This window comes from Homo sapiens, chromosome 6 (assembly GCF_000001405.40).
Source record: "Homo sapiens chromosome 6, GRCh38.p14 Primary Assembly".
NCBI classification, from domain to species: Eukaryota; Metazoa; Chordata; class Mammalia; order Primates; family Hominidae; genus Homo; species Homo sapiens.
This window is the reverse complement of record NC_000006.12, coordinates 143614136-143641546: the sequence shown is the minus strand read 5'-3', so window position 1 is coordinate 143641546 and position 27411 is coordinate 143614136. Positions and strand designations below refer to the sequence as shown.

At 39.1% G+C, this 27411-nt stretch overlaps 1 protein-coding gene across 5 annotated transcripts in view, besides 1 other annotated feature; it reads right to left on the bottom strand.

Moving 5' to 3' along the window:
* PHACTR2 (phosphatase and actin regulator 2) overlaps positions 1-27411 on the bottom strand; it is a 294308-nt gene that overhangs the window by 189639 nt on the left and 77258 nt on the right. The window lies entirely within an intron of this gene.
* Positions 3439-3982: an enhancer, noted in NCBI's record as "OCT4-NANOG hESC enhancer chr6:143958702-143959245 (GRCh37/hg19 assembly coordinates)". NCBI's record gives its function as "activates a minimal SCP1, AML or CMV promoter by ChIP-STARR-seq in naive H9 embryonic stem cells {active_cell/tissue: H9 hESC(naive)}" and the evidence as "EXISTENCE:reporter gene assay evidence [ECO:0000049][PMID:30033119]".

The following is a 27411-nucleotide window of genomic DNA, read 5'->3' as shown; positions in this document are numbered from 1 at the left end:
TAACAAGAGCGAAACTCTGTCTCAAAAACAACAACAACAAACACACAAACAAACAAACAAATCAACAACAGAAATGTATTATTTCACAGATCTGAAGGTAAGAAGTCAGGAATTGGCAGGGCAGTGCTCGTTCTCAAGGCACTGGAGGAGAATCCTTCCTTTCCTCCTCCAGCTTCTGGAAGCTCCAGGCATTCCTTGACTTATGGCTATACCATTCCAATCTCTGCCTCCATCTTCACATGCTGCTATGGTTTGAATGTTTGTCCTCTAAAAACTTCATGTTGAAACTTCATTGCCATTATCACAGTATTAAGAGGTGGGACCTTTAAATCATGATTAAGCCATGAGGTCTCCACTGCAAAGGGTGGGATTAATGTTGCGATAAAATGGCAAGTTTGAACCCCCTCTTGCTCTCTCTTTGCCCTTCTGCCATGTGACACCTGCCTCCCTGAGTCATGAAGAATGCCCTCAGCAGATGCCAGCACCTTGATCGTGGACCACCAACCTCCAGAACTATGAGAAATACATTCTCATTCATTATAAATTACCCTGTCTCAGATATTCTGTTACAGAAGCATAAAACAGACTAAGACACATGCCTTCTCTTCTGTGTGTCTATTTTCTCCTCTTCTGTCTCTCATAAGGAAACTTACTGGATTTAGGGCCCACCTGGGTCATCCAGGAGTATCTCATCTTAAGATCCTTAACTTAATTACACCTGTAAAGGTCTTTTTTTCAAATAAAGTCACGTTCACAGGTTCTGGAAGTTAGGACATAGACATATCTTTTGAGGAGCCACTATGCAGTCCACTACACAATTGCTTGAGAATGTCCCTTGTATTTGAAAAAATACTTTTAGCATTTTTCAGATTAAGTAGTAGTTTATTAATGTATTAATAGCACTAAATTAGTTGACAGAAAACAGAAAGGGAAAATGTTTGTTCTGAGGCTCAATCAAGAGGAATACAAAACCCATTGACCTTTTGTAGGCATTGACTGGTTCTGTGAGGTCTGCTTCACCTTCCAGCCTCGTCTCCTGGCTCACTTCTCCTCCATCTCTGCACTTCCATAAACGCATCTAGCTAGATAGCAAGTTGCTCTCCTTATGTCTCTCTGTAAGTCTTTTGTTTGAGAACGTTATTCTATTCTATTTGACTGAGTGACCTGGTTAACTTTGCTCATCTATCCATCTTTTGTGTCTTCTTCTGGAATACCTTCTGGAGGAACTGACTGAGGCTGTTTTACAGTGACCTTTTAAAAAACAGTAAGTAGAAGCAGTACACTCTAAAATGGTGATTAAAAGTATAGTAAATCCACAAACCGGTAACATAGACATTTGTTGTCATTATCAAGCATTATGCACTGTACATAATTATATGTGCTACACTTATATACAACTGGCAGTGCAGTAGGTTTGTTTACACCAGCATCAGCACAAACTTGTGAGTAAAGCATTTGCACTATGACAGCACAACAACTGTGACATCACTAGGTTATAGGAATTCTTCAACTCTATTACAGTTACACAGAATTACCATCATATATGTGGCCCACTGTTGGCAGAAACATCATTATGTAGCACATGACTCTATTAATAACAAGTTGTTATTCCTTGCTTCCTCCAGCTTCTGGAGGCTAGGAACCAGAACACATTATCTTTAGAGTAGTTATGTTGACTTCTAATTTCATTGCACTACAGTGAGAAAATGTAATGCAAATCAAATCACCCTTCAGTGGTTCTTAAAACTTCTTTTGTGACTGTGTAAATAGTCAATATTTGTGTATGTTTCATATTTGCCTAAGAGGAATGAATATCTACTTGTTGTGTGCAGAGTTCTTGATCAATTACATCAAGCTTGTCAACTGTCTTGCTCAAACCATCGCTATCCTTACTCATGATGGGGTATGCTAATCCATCATCAAAGGGAGAGTTAGTAATCCCTCCCGCTATAATCAGGCTTTCTCACTCCCAAACCTAAAGACTTTTCCCCAGCACAATTAATTCTTTTTGAATGGGCCAAATGTCATCTAGATGCCAAAAGTAAAAATAGGTGATCTACATAAGCAGAAAACAAAAGTGTGAATTAAAAATAAGAATTATTTTGCTTGTGTCACTTATAAAATGGCTCTGAATATGCTTTCACTTAGTAATTTTTGAAATGTTTTGAGCAATGATAGCCTTGATGGCATAAACACTAACTCCCAACGTGATTTAAAGATTAAATCACTATATAAAGTTCTGTTACATTTGTTTTACAACATTACATTGCTATAGGTATATCTTACCATTAATTTGTTTTGGAAAGACAGACTGTACTTCAGGTACTTTGCAGCAATTGTCATTTTATGAAGCATGTCATTGGTGGCTCATGAAAGCAGAAAGATGTAATGATTCAAAAATAATTCAGAAGAATATTGGACACTGTTAAAAAATTATGCATAAGTATGTAGATTCATCTGACTTTATCAGCCCTTGGCTGAGGCTTTTGATGCTACACTGAATAATTTTATTGCCTGACAACTGGGCAAAGAGAAAATGATCATTAAGGAGATAATGTCATTCATAGTTTTGGGGAAGCTACGAACACTCTAAATTACAATTTTTAGACAGAATAAATTTTGTAAACTACTGATTATTAAGGACAAATATGCAATTGGGCAGGAAAATTGACAGAGTAGAACAAAGGAATTTATCTATATTGCTAGAAAGAGCAATGGACAAGACACATGTACTTCCCTATATGCAAGAAGCATTGTCTGTGGATTTACTATTCTTAAAATATTTGAAGGAAAAGTATGATGAATCTGCCTGCTAACATTCATCTTCTAACTTCACTGCCCTTTTTTAAAAGTATGTATTTAGCATTTTTTCTTAAGCAAATATACATTTGGGGTGTTTAATGCTTAATATAAAATGAAAAATTAGCTCAAAACTTGGATAGCTGGGTGTGTGTGTGTGTGTGTGTGTGTATGTGTGTGTGTGTAATACTTTTTTTTTTTTTTGAGACAAGGTCTTGCTCTGTGGCCCAGGCTGGAGTGCAGTGGTATGATCATAGTCACTGCAGCCTTGAACTCCTGGGCTCAAGCAATCCTCCCATCTCAGCCTCCTGAGTAGCTGGGACTATGGGCATGCACCACCATGCCCAGCTAATCTTTTAATTATTATTTTTGTATAGACGGGGTCTTGCTATGTTGCCCAGGCTGGTTTCAAACTCCTGGCCTAAAGTGATCCTCCCACCTTGGCTTCCCAAAGTGCTGGGATGATAGGCATGAGCCACTGCACCTGGCATTCCTCTGCTTCTTTTTAAGCCATAGCGATCACTGAATTTGTAACTGCCAATCAAGCTCTCAGCAATACTATAACTTAAGTCTCTATTTGCTACAAGGAAGACCTTAGTATTTGTGGTTTCTGTCTATATTTACTGAAATAATTCATCAACTACACACTAAAAATATTATTGTAACCTTGCTCTGGAATCATTAGATTGTTTTTACCAGAAATGCTATTGCTTTTGTTTGAAATTGACATGAAAGCTTTGTGGTGGACTGACACTTAGATGATCCCCCCATGATCACTGCCTCCTGGTGTTCAAGCCTTTGTGTAATCCTCTCCCTTTAAGTATGGGTGGGACCTGTGTCTTGTTTCTAACAACTAGAACATAGCAAAGGTGACGGGATGTCACTCCCATGACTATGTTATCACGTTTGCCAAAGGCGAAGGGATGTTTCTCCTGTGATTGTATTATGTTATAAAAGACTCCCATTGCTACAGCAGATTTGCATTAGAGCCTTGCTCTCCTTGCTGGCTTTGAAGAAGCAAGCTGCCATGAGTGCTGCAGCTGCAAAGAACTGACTCTGCTAACATGGGACCAGTCCCTTTTCCCCAGTCAAGCCTCCACATGAGGACTGTGTCCTGCCCAACACCTAAAGTGTAGCCTTGCAGAAGACCCAGCTAAGTTGTGCCTGAACTCCTGACCCATACAAGCTGTGACATAGTTAATATGTGTTGTGTTAAGCTGCTAAATTTGTGATAATTTGTTATGCAACATAGAAAATGAATATACTTCAATTTCGCAAAGTCTTACTGAGAACATATTGAGGACTAGGAATAGATAAGCTACCAGTCCAAGAAAAACTAAATATCATTGTTACGTTTCCTGTGCTCTTTACTTTCCTTCATCCTTTTTTCCTTCCTTCCTTCCTTCCTTTTCTTCCTTTCTTTTTTTTTTCAAACAACAAAAGAATGGTTAACTTAGAAAAACAAAAGAATGGTTAACTTAGAAAAAAAATTATTTGGAAGGATATTGAGTGGCTCATGGAATTGAGGTTAGAGCAAAAACAAGGGAGCAAGGCACAGCAAGGATCCCTCAGAAGAACCACATGCTTAGCACACCACCATTTGCACCACCCCCGGTTAGTCACGCTGCCAAACTATGCAACCCCTGGACACTCCATCCCTACCACTGAAGGCCACCATGGCAAATCTCTTCAGGCCTGTACCTTTATGGCAACCCTCGTGTTGAGAATCTGGATTGAGAGCATCTAATGGTGACACCTAGGGCCATGTGGCCATGTGCCCAAGGGCTGATGGCCAGGAGATGGCAGAGGGAAGATCTATTCCACTTTCAGCTAGAATTATATTCATCTACATGAGAAAGGTACTAAGATATGAGACAACCAAAAGGACTCGACATTTATGCTTTAATGAATGACTTTGAAGCCATTCATCTTGTTTGGTGAGTTGGGTATGTATCATAGCCCAACAGAAATAAGAAGCAAACTTCATAATGAAAACAATAATATACAAATGACCTGAAAATTCATTGTTCATGGCAAAATCTATCCTGTTAAATATATGCTACCCAAGATGAGCTAATGCATGGGCAATGTTTAAAGGCATGAAAATAATTAAGAAAGCATGGAATTTCTGTGAAAGTAATAATTTATCTTCTATTTTAAATTTGTGAATCAAATAGTTTAATAACATTTTTCTTGGAATCCAACTGCCTATAGACTGCCTGATAGACTGCAGACAACCTTAAGTGATTTATTGGCTACTCTTTGAAAAACACTGATATAAAGCATTCAGAAATAGGTCTCAACGTGTATGGAAAATAATATGTAACAAAGGTGATACTTCAAATGAATCAGAAAATTAATGAATGATGTGTAGAAGCGCATTGGCAAAGAAAATAAATGGGGATCCCAACCTCACCCCTTATGTAAAAATACATTTCATATATAATAAAATATATATAACCTTTCATGCATATAACAAAAAGAAACCATAAAGGCAGCAGAGGAAAGCATGGTTTAATTTTTTTTTTTTTTTCTGAGACAGGTCTGACTCTGTCACCCAGGCTGGAGTGCAGTGGCACAATCTCAGCTCACTGCAACCTCTGCCTCTTGGGTTCAAAGATTCTCCTGCCTCAGCCTCCTGACTAGCTGGGACTACAGGTGTGTACCACCATGCCTGGCTAATTTTTTAGTTTTTTACTTTTAGTAGAGACAAGGTTTTGCCATGTTGGCCAGGCTGGCCTCGAACTCCTGGCCTCAAGTGATCTGCCCACCTCGGCCTCTCAAAGTGCTGGAATTACAGGCATGAGCCACCACACCTGGTCCAGTTTTGAAAAAATAAATTAGGAAGGGGAGAGCTTTTCTAAATGGGATACAAAATCTAGAAGCCTTAAATAAAAAGCTTATAAAGATGAAAAGCTTTCTTATTTACATACAAATAAAAAAGGCCTGCATTTGTGTCATTCATGATAAAGGCATAATATCCCTAATATAAAGAGCCATTATAAATCAACAAGACGACCTTAAAGTAAAATGGGGAAAAGCTAAGAATGAAGAGTTGGTCACAGAAAAGAAGTACATACGACTGGCACTAGACAAAACAAATTAAAACAATAATTAGAAATGATTTTTCACCTATTGGGTTGCCAAAGATTTATAGGCCTGCTAATATTAATTGTTGCTGAGGTTGGTGGGAAACAGAGGCACTCTCATACACTGACTGTGGGAGTATAAATAGTTAGAAACATTTAGAAGGAAAACTCGGCAGTATCTATCAAGATTTTAAAGCTACGTACTTTTGATCCCACAATTCCAACTTTGAAGAGTTTGTCCTACATTTATTTAAGTAACTGAAGATTTCTGAAATGTGTGCTTTATGTGGCATTTTTGTAACAGAAAACACACACACACACACACACACACACACACACACATCCTAAATGCTCCGTCAATATGAACTAGTTAAATGCATTTGAGTACATGCAAATAATGGAATAGTATTTAAAATATCCATGTATATCAATATGGATAGATATCCAATGGATACTGTTAAGTGAAAAATTATTGTGATGTAACAATATGTATAATCTAATTTGGGTTTTAAAAAGAAAAGATATACTAATGGAGATAAAGTAACACATGCCATCTGCAGAGAACAAGAATGTGGAGAGGATAAATGTCATGCTTTTGAATATATTTGTGCACCATCTTAATGATAATAGTGACCCTAAGAAAGTTCATTTTTCTTAGAGTAGATACATGTTCTGTGCGTAGAAATTACTTCAGTTCCTCAGGCTATCTAAATTAGTCTTTCCTTTCTAAAAAAAAAATGAGAAAATGATTTAAAATATTGGTGCTGATTTTTAAATTTGTGACGCCCCACTAATTTGTGGCTATGAGATCCCATGAAGGCAAGGCCAGGTTTTATATTTGCTGTGGTATTTGTTTCATTTGCTAGCCATAGACGGTGAGCAAATATTTGTGGTATGCAAATTACCCAAGATCTGCCTGAAGCTATCTGCATATGCCCAACTACAAAGTCATCAGCCTGACACCTTATAACACAGATACTATTGTCTTTTATCATCTTGGCATGAATCCAAGCCTCATTCTCCAATGGAATAAACCAGAGATAAATCATCTAACTGGCTCATCCTCACTATCAGACTCCTTTGTTGTAAACACTTATGGTACAATGAACACAAACTGATCAGTAGCACAAGGCACAGCTGGCACCAAGACCTCTGTTTAAAATCAGATGACCTCTTCTTCAATAACCTCTGAGGATATAAATACCATCTTCAAATATATACAATGGCACATATCAAAATTTTTAAAATTAAGTTTCATTTTTAGCAAAACTGCTCTCTTATTAAATGAAAAGGACTAAGTGTTCCTATTCTGGCAAGATCAGGCAGCAGGAAAACATATTGTTTAATTATAGCCTTTGAAAGGAACGGTACATTCTTAAGATGTAACTTTCCAGAAGAGAACTTAGAACATATATTAGGACCTTCTCCCAAAGAGGTTGCAATTCCATAATTATATTTTTATTGTTGGATTAGCTGCAAAAGGAAAAAGAAATCTTGTTCTGAAAGTTATCACACTGCAAAAGGCCAACATGGGACTCAGAGCTTAACATTTTCTAGGCCATTTTCTACATGAGATTATTTTACTTCCCTGTTGGAAGACCTGCCGTAGTACAGTAAAAATGATGTCAGTAGGCATACCTGCACTGACTAGTATTTTGTAAAAGTAGGATAAAATATAATTATCATAGTCATTTTATGATACTGCCTTGTTAAGTAAAATATTGGCTTCTAAACGAGGACCGTTTTTACTTTCATCTTAAATCTATAGTTCATCTTACAAAGTTCATCTTCAAAAGGTAACTGGACATCTAAATGCGAAAAAATGAATCTAGACAGAGACCTTTATAAAATATCAAAATCGATTATGGATCTAAATATAAAGTACAAAACTACAGAATTCCCAGAAGATAACGTAGGAGAAAATCTAGGTGACCTTCAGTATGGCAATGACTTTTTAGATACTACACCAAAGGCATGATCCATGAAATAAATAATTAATATGCTTGACTTCATTAAAATTAACAACTTCTACTCTCTGAAAGACAATGTCAAGATAATGAGAAGACAAGCCACAGACTGGGAAAAACTACTTGCAGAAGACATATCTGATAAATGATGGTTACCCAAAATATAAACTCTTCAAGCACAACAATAAGGGAATGAAGAATCCAATTTAAAAATGGACAAAAGACCTGAACAGAAGGTCTCTCTAAAGAGGTCCTCACTAAAAAGGAAGACCTCACCAAAGAAGATATACAGGTGGAAAAGGCAAGTGAGCATATGAAAAGATGTTCAGCATCATATGCCGATAGGGAATTGCAAATTGAAGCAACAAGATGCCACTACTCATCTTTGAGAATGGTCAAAATCCAGAACATTGACAACACCAAATCCTGGTAGAGACGTGGAGCAACAGGAACTCTCATTCTTTGCTGATGGGAATGCAAAATGGTACAGCCACTTTGGAAGACAGTTTAGCAGTTTCTTATAAAACTAAATATACTCTCACCCTATGATTCAGCAATTGCACGCCTTGGTATTTAACCAAATCGGCTGAAAGATTATGTCAGCAAAAAGCCCTGCACACAGATGTTTATAGCAGCTTCATTCATAATTGACAAAACTTGAAAGTAACCAAGATGTCCTTCAGTGGGTGAATGGATAAATAAAATGTGGTATGTCCAGACAGTGGAATATTATTCTGTGCTAAAAAGAAATGAGCTATCAAGACGTGAAAAGACATGGAGGAACCTTAAGTGCATACTACTAAGTGAAAGGAGCCAATCTGAAAAGGTTATATACCATATGATTCCAACTATATGATGTTCTGAAAAAGGCAAAACTATGGAGACAGTAAAAAGGTCAGTGGTTGCCAGGATTTAGGGGGGAAAAGGGATGAATAGGTGGGGCACAGAGGATTTTTTAGATCAGAAAAACTACTGTATATAACTACTGCTGTATATAACACTGTATCAGTGAATGTATGTCATTATACGTTGTCAAAATCCATAAAATGTACAACACCAAGAGTGAACCCTAATGTTGGGCTTTAGGTGATAATGATGAGTCAATGTAGTTTCATTGATTCTAACAAATCATCCACCATTCTAGTGGTGGATGTCCATAGTCGGGGGGAGACATCCCCTGACACCTGTGAGAATTCATTGTACTTTGCTCTTTATGTTGCTGTAAACCTAAAACTCCTCTAAAAAACAAAGTTCATTAACTTTTAAAAAGTCAAACACATTTATTTGCCTTTATTTGCAAATTCTAGCCTATTTTAATAAATTGGTGGCGGGGGTATCTAAATAGTTTCTTTAAAATAACATACATACTTAGGTAAAATACAAGATAGAATATTAAAAATATTCTTATTCTTCCCCAAATAGAAGCAGTCTAAAGAACAATATCATGTGGACCTCAAAGCAGCAGCCTTCCCTAGGTGAGTTTGAGGCAGTGCTCGAGATAGGGAAAACAAAAAAGGCAGCTTGAGGCTCTCCTTGTAGTTGATGTACTCCTGCTTCTCTACTTCTGGAACAATGCAAATTGACCATCTGCTTAGAGTCAGGGCCAGGGAGGGGCAGGGGGCCAGGTTGGGAGGTGAACCATCTTTGTTCTTTTCCCTGTTCCAAGGGCTGATCCATAACAGTGCATTTCTGGCTTAGCCCCATCACTACTTACTTTCATGTATTAGTTTCAATTTTCCAGCATAAATGGCATGGTACTATAACAGATATAGTCATAGCCCTAGAAATGGAACAAATTTGATCAAAAAAGGGACTGCCAAATAAAGACAGAATCTTAGGGTTTCCATCATTTTTGTCTCTTTCTACTCTGCTTGTCTCTTAATGATGTTTTCTAGAGTGTGTCCACTTTACGAGAAGCTCAACATTTCTAAAATTGTCTCACTCCTAGAATGTGCACAGGGTTCCCAGGACCAGACTGCAGACTGAACTTTGTCAATGAGACCTCGTTTGTGGGGTTTGAAAATGAAGCTGGACATTATCGGTTAAGAATTCAGCTGAATTTATGGCCTTGTCTTTTCCCTATTAGTGTGAGAAAGTCTTCCATTCAATTTAATACAAAGTAACTGGGTGTACCATAGGCACGGAAGCACACAAGCTCTGCAGATGGAGCCAGGAAGCAGGCTAAAAAAAGCTTGCCTGGCCAGGCTCAGTGGCTCAGGCGTCTAATCCCAACACTTTAGGAGGCCGAGGAAGGAGGATTGTCTGAGGCCATGAGTTTAAGACCAGACTGGGCAGCACAGTGAGACCCTATCTCTAAAAAAAATTTTTTTTAAATTAGCCAGGGGTGGTGGTCTGCACCTGTGGTCCTAGCTACTAGGGAGGCTGAGGCAGGAGGATCGCTTGAGCCCAGGAGGTTGAGGCTGCAGTGAGCTATGATTATACCACTGCACTCCAGCCTGGGCAACAGAGTGAGACCCTGTCTCTAAAAAACAAATGAATAAATAAAAATAAAAAAGAATGCTTTCTACTAGAAGGTTAAATCTTCTTGAAATGATGTAACATATGGCATGTTAGATACTACATAAAACTCCTCTTATAAAATGCTGCTGTGGGCATTCAGTGTTTGTGTTAAGTATTTAATTCCTTGCTTTGTACCTTCCAACAAGGAAGGCTGGTATTGAAGAAGGGAGAGAAGAAAGGATTTGTGGCATAACTTGTTGCTACAGTTTGTGTCACTTCGAGCAGCCATTAAATACATGACTTGCATGAAGCACTGGTTATTAAGAAGACCTAGGAATGACTTTTTGTGAGAAAGACTTGGAGTTCAAGAGTTCTCTCCAATGTGAACCATCTCAGTTCTTTCCCTGCTCCAAAGGCTGATCCATACCAGTGTATTTCTGGCTTAGTTCCATCACTACTTATTTTCACTTATTAGTTTCAATTTTCCAGTATAAATGGCATTGTACCATAACATGTGAATTACGTATGATGTAGACCTGCTCTGTTCAGTTTCAATTAAACAAAGGAATTTACTTTGCCTTGCCAAGCGTGTTGGATGAGTGAATTCATTACCATGATTTTTATTCATTTTATAAATAATGTGTCAGGAATGGGGCTTTGAAAGGTTAACTCATTTAATCCTGCAACGACCCTATGAAGGATTAATGATAGTTGTTTACTGAGTCAATAACAGTTATCACAACACTTTTAATTTGTTTTTGAGCTATAATTAAGGCATGGAGGTTTCAGATTAATAATACAATTTGGATAAAACTGGTAGGTAGTTATAGAGATTCTACAATTGTATTTAATTTAAACATGTCATCAAGTCAAACATTTGGTATATTAACATTATTTCTTAAATTTCCTCTAAAGGTAGCCAGAAGGAATATGCCTTACTATAGCTTTCTAGACATACTTTGTTTCCTCAATGTTTGCATTCATACAAAACAAGAAAATATTTTAAATGATAGTAAATAAAGTCTTTTAATTTTTTGATCTTCATTCAAATAATATTTATAAACATTTATCTTAATATTATGAATTATAATTATGAAATATAATGACTTATAATATTAAGAATGACTCAAATCCCACTATTAAAGTTATTTTGGTCATGTATCCAAGATTTTCATCTTCTTCTTGTCACAGAGATTACCTTAATAGAACTGTGAACCACAAGAAGATGAAAACAGAAGAGCTGTAATACTGTTGATTGCTTTTCAGAGGGCAGCTTGGATCACATCATCTGCTCACTCACGAAGGCTATGATGCCACATGTTGCAGATGGCACATTTTACAGGTTGTTCCCAGCAATGAATAACACACGACACAGAACACTCCAAACGAAGCTGAGCAGCACCCTGACCGCTCCTTTCATTTGAATTTCATTATCTCAGGGCTTGACATTCTCATCATGGAAGAGCGCACTGCTCTGTTTTGGGCTCCCTCTCAATACGCATCTCCTTGGAATTTTTTCCTCCTCTTGGCAGCACACTCAACATGTAAACAACTCCACAGTACTTATGTACCGTGACACAATATTTCAAGCTAAGGGCCACCTACACGGTGGAGCATACTCATACTCCATAAAGTGGCTAGTAAAATCTTCAACCTACTCACACCCACAGTTCTCACTAATTTGTATGAGCTTCCATCGCAATACTCAAGGACATTTTGTAGAGGTACCATTAGGATGCCAAACTGTATTTCTCCATCACCGTGAGGTACTGGTTAGTTTGGAATAAAGCCCAAATTACCTAATTTAATATTTAGCTAATTCCTTGTCCAATGTGGAGCTTGATAATAATTCAAATGCTGAAACTTCACGTGGTTTTAAAAATACCACTGAAAGGAAAAATTTAGACTGAGTGCCAAAAATATGTTCTGCTCTTTCTCAGATGGTAAAATTCTGTCCCCCTCAGCAGACGTGGTTAGATGTCTATCTCTTTCCCCCTCCAGAAGATGCTTAGGGAGAGGGCATATGACCAATATGATTTTCATATAATAGATCTGTATTTGTATTTGGAGTTACAGAATCTTATTATTTCTATGGACATCTTTAAGAAAACTATAAAATGATACCCTCCCTCATTTCAGGATATAACTCACCACCATTATCTTCTGTACTTACTGAACATGTGACTTGAACTCTATTAGGTACTGGAGATCAAGAGTTGAATAAGGCCATCTCTGCCCTCAAGGATTTGCAGTATATATATATATATATATATATATATATATATATATATATATATATATATATATCTCCTGCATTTAAACATTCATCTTCTTTCCCATTGGCCAGAAAGTAAACTGAATAATGAAAATATTAGCCTAGTGAGGATTGTGACCAGCACTGCTAAAGAAATCAGACTTTGCTCAAGTGAGAAAGACCATGGGTAGGGTAAACAATGATCTCCCTCTTCCCCCACCTTCAGCCCCTCCCTGCCCTGAGATATCTACCTCCTAATCCCTAGAGCCTATAAATGGTACCTTATATGGCAAAAGGAACTTTGCAGACATGATTAAATTAAGGATTCTGAGATGAGGCTATTACCCTGGATTATCTGGATGGGCCTAATGTAATCACAAGGGTCCTTATAAGAGGGAGGCGAAGGGCCAGAGTCAGAGGGAGAAGGTGCAAAGACAGGAGCAGAGGTCTGAGATGAGAAGATGCTACTCTGATGGCTTAGAACCTAGGAGAAGGGACCACAGGCTAGGGAATGCCAGCAGCCTCTAACAAGTCGGTAAAGGCAAGGAAACAGATTCTCCCCCAGTGCCTCCAGAAGGAATGCAGCCCTGCTGACACTAGACTGCTAGACTTCTGACTTCCAGAACTGTCAGGTAATAAATATATGCTGCCTTCAGTCACAAAGTTTGTGGCAATTTGTTACAGCAACAATAGGAAACTAATGCAGACAAATGCATGTACACAAACATTCATAGCAGCACTATTCATGATAGCTAAATGGTGGGGAAAACCCAATGTACTTTAGCAAATGAATAGAGAAACAAAACGTGGTACATCCATAGAATGGAATATTATTCAGCCATACAAAGGAATGAAGTATTGATAACCTGCTACAACCTGGATGAACCTTGAAAACATTAGGTTCAATTTGAAAAGCCAGACACAAAAGGTAACATATTTTATGATTCCATTTATAAGAAATATCCCAAATAGGTAAATCAATAGAGATAGAAAGCAGACTGGTGTTTGCAAGAGTCTGGGGGAGGGGGACAATAGTCATGACTGCACAATGGGTATAGGGTTTTCTTGAGGTAGATGAAAAGGCTTTGGAACCAGATAGAAGTGGTGGTTGTACTTTGGGAGGCCGAGGTGGGCGGATCACAAGGTCAGGAGATCGAGACCAACCTGGCTAACATAGTGAAACTCCATCTCTACTAAAAATACAAAAAATTAGCTGGGCGTGGCGGTACGAGCCTGTAGTCCCAGCTACTAGAGAGGCTGAGGCAGGAGAATCGCTTGAACCTGGGAGGCGGAGGTTGCAGTGAGCCGAGATCGTGCCACTGCATTCCAGCCTGGGTGACAGAGCGAGACTTCTTCTCAAAAAAAAAAAAAGGAAGTGGTGGTTGTACAACATTGTGAATGTACTGAATGCCACTGAATTGGACACTTCAAAATAGTTAATTTTATGTCATGCGAATCTCACCTTAATACAAAAATTAAAAGATGGGGAAAGACTCTTGAATTCCGCAAGGCTACCTGACGTAGTAGCTGAGTATATTACCCATAATTAGGAACTCAATAAATATTTATGAAATTAAATGGTATAAAATATCTGTGTTCCACAAATTTTTTTAAATTAGTCAAGATCATTCTGGTCTAAGTCTGATGAATAAGGCAAGTTATCGAACTGAGTAAAGCTATCTTAGTTTTGAAAATAATAATGTTTAGCTACAAAGTTAGAGACTCACATTTCCCTCTGCCTAGCAAACTTGAACCTGTTCTTCAAACATCCCAGCCCAAATATCATCACCCTTGGAGCCTCCCCTACATCACCAAGTGGCACTTCCCTCCTGGACCTTCTAACTTGTTTGGTTCATAGATACCTAAGCACTTCCAGTTCTATGTCTCATCGGTCTCCTCACAACAGTGTTGGCGTCTCAAGGGTAAGAAATAGTTCTAATCTATTGACATACACTGAGCAGGAAGCGCCAAGTTGGCAAAGGAAAGCACTAATAATCAACCTAACGTTTTAGTTTGTCTTGTAAAGTAGCTCCAAAGACAATTCTAAAAGAGGAATTCCAAACTTGTTTTGAGTAATATCAATATATTAAATTGAATATATACCTGCTCAATGTGATAGCTGAAAGAAAATCTCCTTGGTTGTTTAAATTCTAATGTCTTTGCTAAAACCCTTCCCTGTCTTTCTTTAATTGACACGCTTCACATCATGCCCCTGGTGTACATAGCACAGGCAGGCAGAAGCTCTTAAGAGCAACGTTTTCCCGAAATAAACGTGTTAATTTGGTCTCTATAAGGATAAACAACAGGTCTTTGTTATTAAGGAAGACATGATTTATTATTTGTGTAATCAAGCTGCCACCTTAATACTGCAAGGTTTTTCTTAAGACATGGGAACATCTTCTGATAACAATGCAGTTTTGTGCTAATTTTTTTTTTTTTTTGAGACGGAGTCTCGCTCTGCTGCCCAGGATGGACTGCAGTGGCGCAATCTCGGCTCACTGCAAGCTCCGCCTTCCGGGTTCACGCCATTCTCCTGCCTCAGCCTCCGGAGTACCTGGGACTAAAGGCGCCCACCACCGCGCCCGGCTAATTTTTTTTATTTTCAGTAGAGACGGGGTTTCACCGTGTTAGCCAGGATGGTCTTAATCTCCTGACCTCGTGATCCACCCATCTCGGCCTCCCAAAGTGCTGGGATTACGGGCGTGAGCAACCGTGCCCGGCCGGTTTTGTGCTAAATTTTAAACCAATTTGGGCCACTAAAGGTTTGGCAGGGGTAAGGGATAGTCGGTGTAATTATGTGCCTTCATTCTGTTGTCACACAAAACAAGGTAAAATTCTTAGCATCTTTCTTTGAACTGGGCCACTTCCTGAAGCTTGAAACAGCACAAAACTTAAAAGCATTTAAGCAAATTGAAATAAAAAATAGCGTTCACCTGAAACTGCACCAAACTGATCAAAGAAGGTTTTACAAAGCTATGCTTGCAAATCTCCCAAATTTTGTAACCCAGTCACATTTAGATGGCCAGTCACTGGAAAGAAACTCACCTTACCTAAAAGAGCTCTTCAGTTGTCCCTGCCCCACCACTCTGCTTTACCTTTCTTCATGGTTCTTACCACTTCCTGGCATTTTATCATACATTTACTTGTTGATCTGGTCACTGTCTGTTGGCTTCAATAGAATGTAAGCTCCATGGGAGCAGGGACTCCATGTGTCTCATCACTGCCCCATTCACTGCACCCGGAAGAGTGCCTGACCCAGTAGGCACTCAATTCATATTTGCTAAATATGTCTTTCAACTAAATTATATTCTAAAATTATGATAAACAAAGAAAATAAGAACTAATAAGCTTCATCAGTTATTTTTAGCAAATTGCAAAGTTCCCACAGTCACTGGTGATATTACATCTATTGGAGACACACCGCACAAGGGGAAATGGAAATCAATATGCAGCAATTACCTATTCGATAAGTTATCAATAATATTTATTATCCTTTTTGATGTTGTGAGTAGTTTATTTTCACGGTATGTGGCTTAAGTTATAAATAATATTTGCTTATAAAGATTAAGTTATAAATAACTAATAAATTTATAACTTAAATATTTATTTTTTGAATAAACTGTACAGGTAGTGATATAGTTTAAATTCTGAATCACCAAGTAAAAATTTGATATATCTCACAATAAATAAGAATTCTGGCACAGAAACTATCTAATTCTATTGTACGTATACATGACTGTATTTTAAACGATAGTCACATGATGCCCTCAGCAAATATTCATAACACCATATTCCTTGACTATACTTTTTTTTTTTGAGATGAAGTCTCATTCTGTCTCTACACTCCATGTTGGAGTGTAGTGGTGCAATCTTGGCTTACTGCAACCTCCATCTCCCGGGTTCAAGCAATTCTCCTGCCTCAGCCTCCCCTGTAGCTAGGATTACAGGCATGCACCACCACGCTCAGCTAATTTTTCTATTTTCAGTAGATACGGGTTTTCACCATGTTGACCAGGCTGGTCTTGTACTCCTGACCTCAAATGATCCGCCCGCCTCGGCCTCCCAAAGTACTGGGATTACAGGTGTGAGGCACCGTTCCCGGCCTCCTTGACTATACTTTATCAGCTCTTTGCTGTGGTCTCCATCTCTGATATCTGACACTGTACTCAGCTTGTAGGCACAATGACAAACGCAGCTTTACCATCCTGGCCAAGCCTTTACACACTCAGCCTCTCTAGTAACCACCTCAGCTGATCCAGGGCAACCGTGGGGTTCCAGCTTTAGGCCTGGAGCTCCTCAAGGGCAGATTGAACACATGTCCCCATCCAAGCAGACACAGGCTGGAATTTAGCCATGTGAAAAAAGCCGCATACCATGAAAATAAACTGCTTCCCACAACATTAAAAAAGAGTGGTGATATAATCCCAAATTGCTGATTTTGGCCTCAAGTCTGTCCTCAATTTAGGAAGGTGGAAGAAAATCTAGTTGAAATGTCCATGTTGTGGTGATATTGTGTGAATATGAATTAGTAACTATGACTGCGTCTTGGTCATAAGAATTAACAAGATTTTGGCCAGGCACGGTGGCTCACGCCTGTAATCCTAGCACTTTAGGAGGCCAAGGTGGGTGGATCACCTGAGGTCAGGAGTTCGAGACCAGCCTGGCCAACAGGGGGAAACCCTGTCTCGCCTAAAAATACAAAAATTAGTCAGGTGTGGTGGCAGGCACCTGTAATCCCAGCTACTCGGGAAGCTGAGGCAGGAGAATTGCTTCAACCCAGGGGGCAGAGGTTGTAATGAGCCGAGATTGGGCCACTGCACTCCAGCCTGGGCAAAAGAGCAATACTGTCTAAAAACAAACAAACAAACAAAAAAAACAACAAAAAAAATTAACAAGATTTCAGAGCTAGTTCTAATTAACAAAGAAACAAGTTCAATAATAGCTTACACTGGGGCAGGGTGGGGAGTGGGTGGGGAGGCAGGGTCTTCATATCACTCACCCCAAGTTACTCTGGGGTAGGGACCCATGTCATTAGCAACTTATTATGGGGGTGCTCTGAGTGTACCCAGAATATTGTGCATCATACATGGTAAGACAATATAATATGTGCTGCTATCCAGTTAACTGATTAAAACATAATTTATTGGCTTTTAAAGCAGGACACAATGACTGTACAAACAAAACCAAAAATAGAAAAGTCTAGAGTAAAATATAAAAATTCCCCTTTTATTCTTTCTGTTATTCTTCAGGGATTGAGCATTGCTCTATGCACACACAAAATGTTTTTATAAAAATAAAACCAACTTTGTATGCTGTACTCCCATGAACTGATTTTCAACAAGAGTTCAGAATTATTTCTCTCTCATTTGGTATTATTATTATTATTACTATTATTATTATTTCGAGTCAGAGTCTCACTCTGTTGCCCATGCTGGAGTGCAGTGGCATGATCTTGGCTCACTGCAACCTTCTCCTTCCGAGCTCAAGTGATTCTCCTGCCTCAGCCTCCCACGTAGCTGGGACTACAGGCATGCACCACCATGCCCGGCTAATTTTTGTATATTTAGTAGAGACAGGGTTTCACCATGTTGGCCAGGCTGGTCTTGAACTCCTGACTTCAAGTGATCTGCTCACCTGGGCCTTCATTTGGGTATTATGATGACATTTTTTTCTCTCTCCATATATTAAGAGCAAGGGACAATTTAAATATACTAATACATTTTAGGAGTTTGAAAATAATTTCTTTTTCTAGGGAAGGTAATTTGGCTTTTTTCTTATAACAATATTTAATTTATTAATTTAGTTTAAAATACATATACTAAATCATGTCTAAAAATATGCTATTTTTAAAAATTGCTTTTTTCCACTCTCACATTTCCTGAAAACATTTTATTCAAACTCTTCACCGGCATATTTGACATCAGTGTTAGGGAAGGTAATCTGAAAAGTTCAAAGCAAATGGATAAACAATGTCACTAGACTGAGCCTTCTTTAGGTGAAGGCTGGCTTCTTTGTACTCCTCAACTTAGGGCCAAATTTCACAGGTCTTATGCCTTTGATATAATCAAATCTTCCTTGAGAACATTTTTTTAAAGTATATGGTACATCTTCCTTCATGAGATAATCAAATTCAATACACTTGTTACTGTAATTATTACATGTTCTATCTTCTCCTGCAAGGAATCCCTACAAAATATATATTTTTAAATTCTAAATTTGGTTTAATGTCAAACACACACACAAAAAAATCAAGGTTCACAAGGACTTTTCTGGGTTGATAAGGATTTTTACTAACCTCATTAAGCTGCATTTTGCATCGTTTGCATTTGGCTACATTTCTCTAAACTGTCCTTTTCTCCTTAAATATTTTTAAAATCTATGTAATGAGATGGTCTATATACATCATTGTGCTCTATAGAACATTCTGTAGCTTGGTAACAATGGCAGAAGAAGTGAGTCAGCCAGCATGCATTAAATACTTACTGTGTGCCACATCTGGGGTAGGACTAAGGAAACCAACGGTAAGGTAACATTGCCCTTGAGCAGTTTCCTGGCCAGTGGGGAGACCAGATGTACGCGAGGAGAACAGCACATTGCCAAGCAAAGCAGCAGGAACACACAGTACTTGGGATGAGAGGAAGAGTCTGGGGAGCTGGGACCTAGGACTACATGACCAGAGGTGGTGACAGTGCTGGTGACACAGGGGCCTTGTGTGACGTTTTGGGCTTGAATTTTATCCTGAGGTTTGGGCAGGATCTCTGGAGATTTCTAAATTGGATGATGAGGAAACATTAAAAGATATAACCTAGCTGTCCACCTCCATTATGTCAAGAACCAGGAAATCAACCGAACTGCAACTCGGCCCGAATAAATGTAAAAAATTCACAAACTCCAGCCCACACAAGTGAATCATACACTGCCCAAGGCCTCAGTGGGGTCTGTGTACTATCATTTTGAACAAAAGGATAACACTCTTGATTATTTGGTTTCCCAGACCACACACACAAAAAGAAGAAAACAGCAGATTAGAAGGAGGGAGATGGGAGCTGCCAGAAGCAAGTGCACAACAGCAAAATGTGAGAGGTGAGCAAGGCAGGAACTCAGGGAGCCAGAGCAGGGGGACCTGGGGCCAAGTGATCACCTTGGGAGGTAGCTGAGAGGAAGAAATGAGCTACTGTTCGCAAAGATTTAAAGTCCACGTAGGTGCAAAATGAATCTATGTTACATAATACTTACTACTCAAGCCAAGTACAATCAACCCTAAACTACAGATGAGGAAAGTGAGGCTCATGGATATGCCCAAGGCCCCATACCAGCAGGTAGAACAGGCTCAGCCAGGAACTGCATTCTTCTTTTACAACTCTAATTCCATTCCTTTGCACAATCCCACACTATTCAAGGGTTGGGGTATGTTCAATTTGAGAAAGCCAGTAAATGTGATTAAATATAAGAAAGAGTTGCAATTTAATGATTCTCATGCAAAATACCAATTAAAATAAAGCGTTGGTGCTTGACAGGTGAGCTTCCTTGTAGCTGCTGGCTTCCCAAGTCCTGTGCTACTCTAGAGAGAGAGGCAGGAACTATGGGAAGGATTTGCCCTTCTGCACCGAGGAGGCCTGAGAGGGCTCGGGATCCACAGGAACTCATTCGCGCCCTCCTGAGTTTTCTTTGTTGTCAATTCACACCAAATTGAAGAAGCCAGAATGAAACCTGTGGGGGCCTCCTGATGTTTTCTGTAGACCCGTTTCATAAGCCAGGTGTCTACCTTGGTCTCTCCCTATAATCTGTCCACATTCCCTACCCAATCCTCCAATCCCTTCTCTGAAACTGGATTTCCAAGCTCAGTCTCTGTGTGAAAATGCTAAGGCTTCTTTAATGATCCTGCTCTTGTTCTTTTCCTGGAGGTTTGCACTGTCCCCCATCTGCTGCCCACCTGCCATATAAGTATATGCCCTGCATATGTGGGCTCCACTAATTAATGAGCCTCTATTGGAATTTCCAGCTGATTTCCAGTCCCTGATCACCTGGTTGCATATCCTAGTACAGAGAGCTTCAACATAGCTGATGGGGACAGTTGTGTTTTGTGACCAAAACTGTGACCAAAGCCTGTCCTCCAGTGAGACAGCCTTTGAGGCCAGGGCAAATACAACCACATTTCCCTAAAAACAATATTGCATGCGTCCCAAAGGGTAAACTGTGCCTGGCTTTCCCCCTGCATAAAAGCCAATGGAAATCACATTTGGCATGGCCTATGCCTTGTGGGTTGGCCGATGGCCAAGCATATACTCAAGCAGACATGGATTTTATATGTCAGGGCAACATTTTTTATGTGCAGTTAAGCTGTGCATGAGGCTGCTGTCTGAAAAAATAAATAAATAAACTTCTCTGCCTTAGTTTCATATCTATAAAAGCAGAACTGATGATTTGAAGTATTTACATAATTCACCGGAGAACTGTGAGAAACAAGCTATATTTGTAAGCATTTTTGAAGATGAGAGGAATTTGGTGAAGTATGTACAGCATTTTTTTTTTCCAAAAAAAAAAAACTTCATTTCTTACTAGCCCTGCATTGAAAACATAATTTTCTGGGACATGATTTTGTTTTACAGTAACCCAGGTGCTCAAGGGTACTTTGGGAGTTTTTGTAGTTTCGAGGTTCCATGAAAACCTTCCCTGAGACAGCTAAAGACAAAGCCCACATCTGTTAGTATAAGAGACACCTTTGTTTATGGAGCATTAGGGCTGTGACAAAAAGACTGACATAAGCCAGGATATTTAGAAGTTAAAGCTGGAGCTTTATTCTAAATGTATGCTACAGAGCTCCTGGTTTTCCACGAAGTCTGGATTTTAAAAACAAAGTTGGCTTTAATTTTCAACTATCTGGCTTTTTTCAACTATCGTCACAGTCATACAGTTATTTAAACAAATGTCTTTGAACTTCCTTAACTTAAAAAAGTGACCCTAAGGTTAATGAATGTTGTGAAATGCTTACTGTTTGAACAAATGAACTGACCCCCCACCCCCGACCGAGTGACATGTTCTGTAAGTACCACAAGCAAGCATGATCGGCGCTGTGAAGACTATAGAATCTCACACAGGGGACCTAAGATATTTTCACTCTTTATACCATACTGACCGCTGTCAAAGTTTGGGACTGGCTATATTTCCTTTTATCCCCTTATTAAAAATGCCCCAAGTCAAGCTGCTTTAAAAATGGAGGGTTGCCAAATTTCCCTTACTAAGAAAATAAGACCCAGGATGTGAAGTGCAGAGGCATGCAGCAGGTGGTAAATTAAAGACAAGTTGGGTGTACAGTTTTAAGCAAGTCTCAGTTAATGATACAAAAGCTACCGAGTCCCTTTCCACAGTAAGTGGAGGAAGAGAAAACAGAATGTACCACCATTCCCATGCAACAGTCTCAAAGAAAGATGCTTCTTTGTGTACAGGTCAACACTGTGTACCCTTCAGTAGGGTATTTCAGAGCATTTTTGTGCAAGGCACAAGATCTTTAGCATTCTAATAATAATGTGCTTTCACACTGGCAATAAGCAAGTATCTTAATAGCACACGAAACAGTAGAAACCTATTTTGTCTGAGTGGCTTCATTATATGTTTCTTAGACCGATAATGGGTCTCACCAGGGCGTAGAGGAATCATCTGTGAAGCATTTCTTAAAAGTACCCCTTTCTTCCCATGGGAGATTCTGAATTAACTAGGTCTGGAGTGGGGCTGGTAGGGCTCTTGATCAATGATAGGTAGACAGAAAAATAGATCACAGGTAGGTAAGCATGCAGGTAGATGGATGGATGGATGGACAGACAGACAGGCAGGAAGATTTTAATTGCACAAGTGATTCTAATGGGCTCCTCAGTTGAAGAACTGCTGCTCATATTAAATTGCATATGGCCACAGCATTCAATTCCAGTAAGAATTAATTCAGAGTTTCTATATAAGTAGTAGCACACAATAAAAGACACAGCTCAGGCTTGATTTCAGCTAGTGTATTCATTTGCCTGCTTATGGAACACACCTCCTCTGCCAGGTACAGTACTTAGTATAAGGCTCAAGAAGGAGACGTGGCCCTGTTCTTGAGGAGCACGTGAAGCAGCATGATGGTATATCTGCTACGTGTTCCAACAGGGGTAGAAGAGAGTTTTCGGGGAGGAGAGGAGAGGAGTGAGAACACTCATTCTATCCAGAGGAGTTGAGGATGGTTTGGAGCAAACGGGGACACTTGAGCTGAGGCTAAGACAAGGAGGAGGCTTTGCAATATGGCAATAGGGGACATGCAAGTGAGAGGGTCTGGGGAGAAATGGTGGGGGCTGGAGCAGGAGGGGCAGTTAGGGAAACATTCAACCCCTATCCCCCCCCAGCCTCCCCTGCCAGTCCCTGGTGGATCCTCCCAATACTAGATGCTTCACTTGTATAAACATTTGGAGTTTAAAACCCTCTGACACTGACACCTTCTCAAGTGACGCTCATGACCATGTGAGGTAGTTAAGTCAAACATTGTAAAAGATGGTTTTACTAAATTGCGCTGTTTCTATTAGAAAGCATATATTAACCATGTTGTAAAAAACACCATTTATTAACCAAAACGCCAGAAAAGCAAGTTATCAAAGCATCCCTAGGCTTTAATATTTAAGGTCACTATCAATTTAAAATGATCTGAAACTCATTCTGGAGTGTGCGTGTGTGTGTGTGTGTGTGTGTGTGTGTGTTTGGAGCAGGAAGTACAAGGTGGAACAGGACCTATTTCTCTATCACTAAAAAGCAGGGCGCCTGTGGTAAGTCACATGGATACAGCAAATATAGCATCGATGTCTAATCGTGGCTCTGACCCAGCCTCTTGGTACAGATACAGTTAGTGATGATTAAATCATAGCAGTGCTATTTGGGGGTCTAATAATGTACCTCTTCTATTATACAGAATTTGACAAGAGATGTTTAACATCTCTTTTTAGTTAAATTTCACATGTAGTCTCTTTAGAAATAGTTTTTGCCACTGTGGTGAATCTTCACTTTTAGTATTTAATTTGCTTCTAAGATGTTGGAAAAGAAACCAACCTTCCTGATTAGGAAGTAGGTGACTAAGTCTCTCCGTAACCACCTTCTTTGATCCAGTCTACAGACTCCACAAGGGTGGATTATAGAAAGTCTGGCTTCAGTTTCCGTTGTTCCTATCCTGATACATTGCCTGGAAGCAGTATTTCACCTCTGCTCTTTTCTTTCAGCCATTTCCTTGGAGGTCTCATTAATCTCACAGCCTCACATCTCACCTGGAAGCAGATAATTCCCAAGCACAAAATCTCAGCTAGACTGGCCTGCTAGACTGGAGGGAGGAAGGAGGGAGAGAAAGGGGAAAGAAAAGAGAGAAAGAGAGAGGACTCTAACAGTGGTTGTCACCCTCATGGCTCATTAGAATATAGTGGGGAGCTTTTAAACAAACACCAATGTCCTGACCCCACTCCAAAGTCCCGGACTGAATTTGTCTAGGGTGGGGCACAGAGATGGGTATTTAAAAGATTTCCAGGGGATTCTAATGAGTAGCTAGAGTTGAGAATGACCACTCTAACTCTTTGGAAGACATAAAAGATGTCTATGATGTGGCATCTGCCCTCAAGACTTTTAAATCTGGTTGGGAAGGGAAGACTCAACTGGAGAGTAATCTCAGATGAACTTCCAGTAAGTACAAAACTGGGTGTTGAATTCCATCAGCGTCATGAGAAAATTCAGGGCTTGGAGACCAGTTGGGAAGACGTTGTAAGATGGGATATGTGCTGGGCCTTGACACAGGGCTGGGATTGAAGTAAGTTTCCTCTCCCCTTCCCCACTGCCACCACCTCCATCAAGAGCCTTCTAAGTGGATTTCATTCTTAGGAGCTTCCACTCTTACTTCTTTCCAGTCCATTCTTCCCAGTCTCGTAAAACCCTTCAAAGGCTCCTGAAAGCTGGTAGGACAGAGGCCAAGCCTCAAGGCCCTCCCTGATTGGTCTGAGGCCCCTACCTCTCATCAGGCCCCAGACACACTGGCCTTGTTGCTCAGACATCCCAGTCAACGTCCTGTCTGGGGGCGTGTGTGTTTGCCGGCCACTCAGCTTGACACATTTTTACCCTGGCTCTCACGTGGCTGATTCCTTTTCATTCCTTAGGCCTCAGCCTGCATGCCACCTCCTTAGGAAGCTTTCTCTGACTACCGAGTCTGGCGTAGCCTCCACCCCAACCTCATTCCTTATCCAAATACCAGTTGATTAACTTAGCAGCACTGATCACAACCCCAAGCATTTTGTCTATTCATTACTAATTTTGCTTTCTCTACTAGAAGGAAGGAGCATGCTGACAGAAGCTCCGTTTCATTCTCTCATATCCACACTAACTAGGACATTGCGTGGCACAGAGTGGGTGACCAGGAAACATCACCAGGATGTATGGATGAATTAACGACTGAATGGCAAGGAGGAGAAGGCGTTCTAGGTGGGAAGAACAGCAAGAATGAAGGTACAAATGCTTTTGTGGATACAGAACAGACGTGGAACAGACTGGTAGATGTAGAGGATACATGGAAAATAACAGAAGATACAGGTTAATAAGTCAAATATAATCATTACTAATAACAATAAATATAAGGATTTGAACTTGACACCTGTAAAGGTATAAATGCTGTGCCAGGACTGAATGATTCAGGTCTAAGAAAGGAAATTATGATTCTAAAGTCCAGTCCTGAGGCACAATTTCAATCACTATTCCTAATTAGAAGATTAAATATTTGGAAAAAATTGGTTTATGTGAAAAAAATTCAAAATAATTTTGGGGAGATAGCTGGATGTTGGGAATTATCTATAAAAATAATAAAAGAGCTACCTATAAAAACAATTAGGCAGATACTTTATACCAAGTGGTAGGAAACCCTGAAACTTTGAAACCATAGCTCTGAAACCTGAAACTGAAACTTTGAAACTATGGCTTCTCTTGACATAGATATCAAAATTTAAATGAGATTATTGTTTCACTGTGTGTTTGTCAAATCTTGTACTGGTTCACAGAGTAGTACAGAGTTTGGAAAGAGTCATGTGGAATGTAACGTGTTAGCATTACTAGTGAAAGAAAAAGGACTATTCAGGCACAGGTGTGGTCAGATGAGACAAAGGCACAGGTACTCTGTGGTCTTCCCTCTAATCATGATCTCTCTGGAAGAAGAAGAGAGAAAAAGTAAAATTCTTTCATATTCCAGAAAGGTGTGTCTGCATTTCATTTAAATATCATTAAAAACATATGGGAAAGGCTCTTTCCATAATTTTTGTTAATGACTCTAATATTATCACATCTTTCAAATGAAAATTTTGAATAATTTTTTTTACAATGGTAACAGATTTCATAGGTGGGCTCTATCAAAAAGCATTCTATTTTATAAATTGTCATAAATTTATGAATGTTTATGAAAGAAACACTTCACAACTATATTTTGTCTTATCCATATACTAACTTCTATCCAAGAGGGTATTCAGATGTATAATAAGATCATATGACATTGATATTTACAAATTAATTTGCTTTTTAAAAAAATTGCTCCAACTTAATTAAACATCATTAAATGTTTGTTGACTTAATTCAGCAAACATTTACTATACACTTACTACAGCCCAAGCACGGTGCTCAATGCTATGGAAAACACAAAGACCAAGAATCCCCACTCTTAAAGCAGTAAAACAACATGAAAAATGATGAGTTGAATTTTGCTATTGTTACAAAAGGCTAGATTCAAGTTTATAAATTACTGGCTTATTTATTGGGTGAGCTCTTAGCCTCAGCTACTTATATGTAACTTGGGGGAGATAATATTTACTTACAGAGTGACTGCAAGTATTAATGATGTAACATGTGTAAAATACCTAACTTGATGCCTAGGACATAATGGACACTCAAAAAAGTAAGGTTCCTTCCTTTTAAGACATTTGACATTTAGCTAAATATGATTTGCCTTTGTTATATATGTTCTTGGTACCTGATTTACAAAAATAGAACTTTGAAGTTGACTTTTTACATATAACATCTTACATCATCTATTTTTAACATTTCATGTGAATTGTTACATTTGGATTGATAAAATCTGTGCATGACCCCCAATCTCATAGATGTCATTGAATTCCACTCCTTTCCAAAGCAGGTTCAAGGCCTAGCTCCCTTTCTTTCTTTACTTCATCTGATGGTGATGTTTATGAGCAGTGAAAGGTTAGAGGCAAGGAAAGAGAAGAGAAATCCTGGACATAGATGACACAGATATTTAATTTCTAAACAATCAAGCACTGACACTTATGGAAGTTAAGTATCATGAAATGTACATATTCATGTACATGTGCAATGGAATTTCATGTACATGAAATGTACATACTTATGGAAGTATGAATGCTTGATTGTTTAGAAATTAAATATCTATGTTAAAAGTTACTTACCAAAAGTAACTTTTTGGTAACTTTGCTAGTTACCAAAAATGGCTTCCTATATTTGGAAACAGGAAGTTGAGAAGAACTCCGGAGAGGAAGAATAAGGTAAAAATGGAAAGTGAAACTGTGAATGAAGGGATCTTAACAGTGCATTCCAAATTGGAGTTATCTACCTTGTAACTTGGTATCCCCTGGAGAACCTGAGGTTAATATGATTGGGAAATGCTGCATTCTGTATTCCATCTTAGGAATTCACAACAAATATTAGCACCCACAGGAAATTATATGCCAATTCTATCAGCATCTTTCTTTTTTGAGACGGAGTCTCACTCTGTCACCCAGGCTGGAGTGCAATGGCGTGGTCTCGGCTCACTGCAACCTCTGCCTCCCGGGTTCAAGCA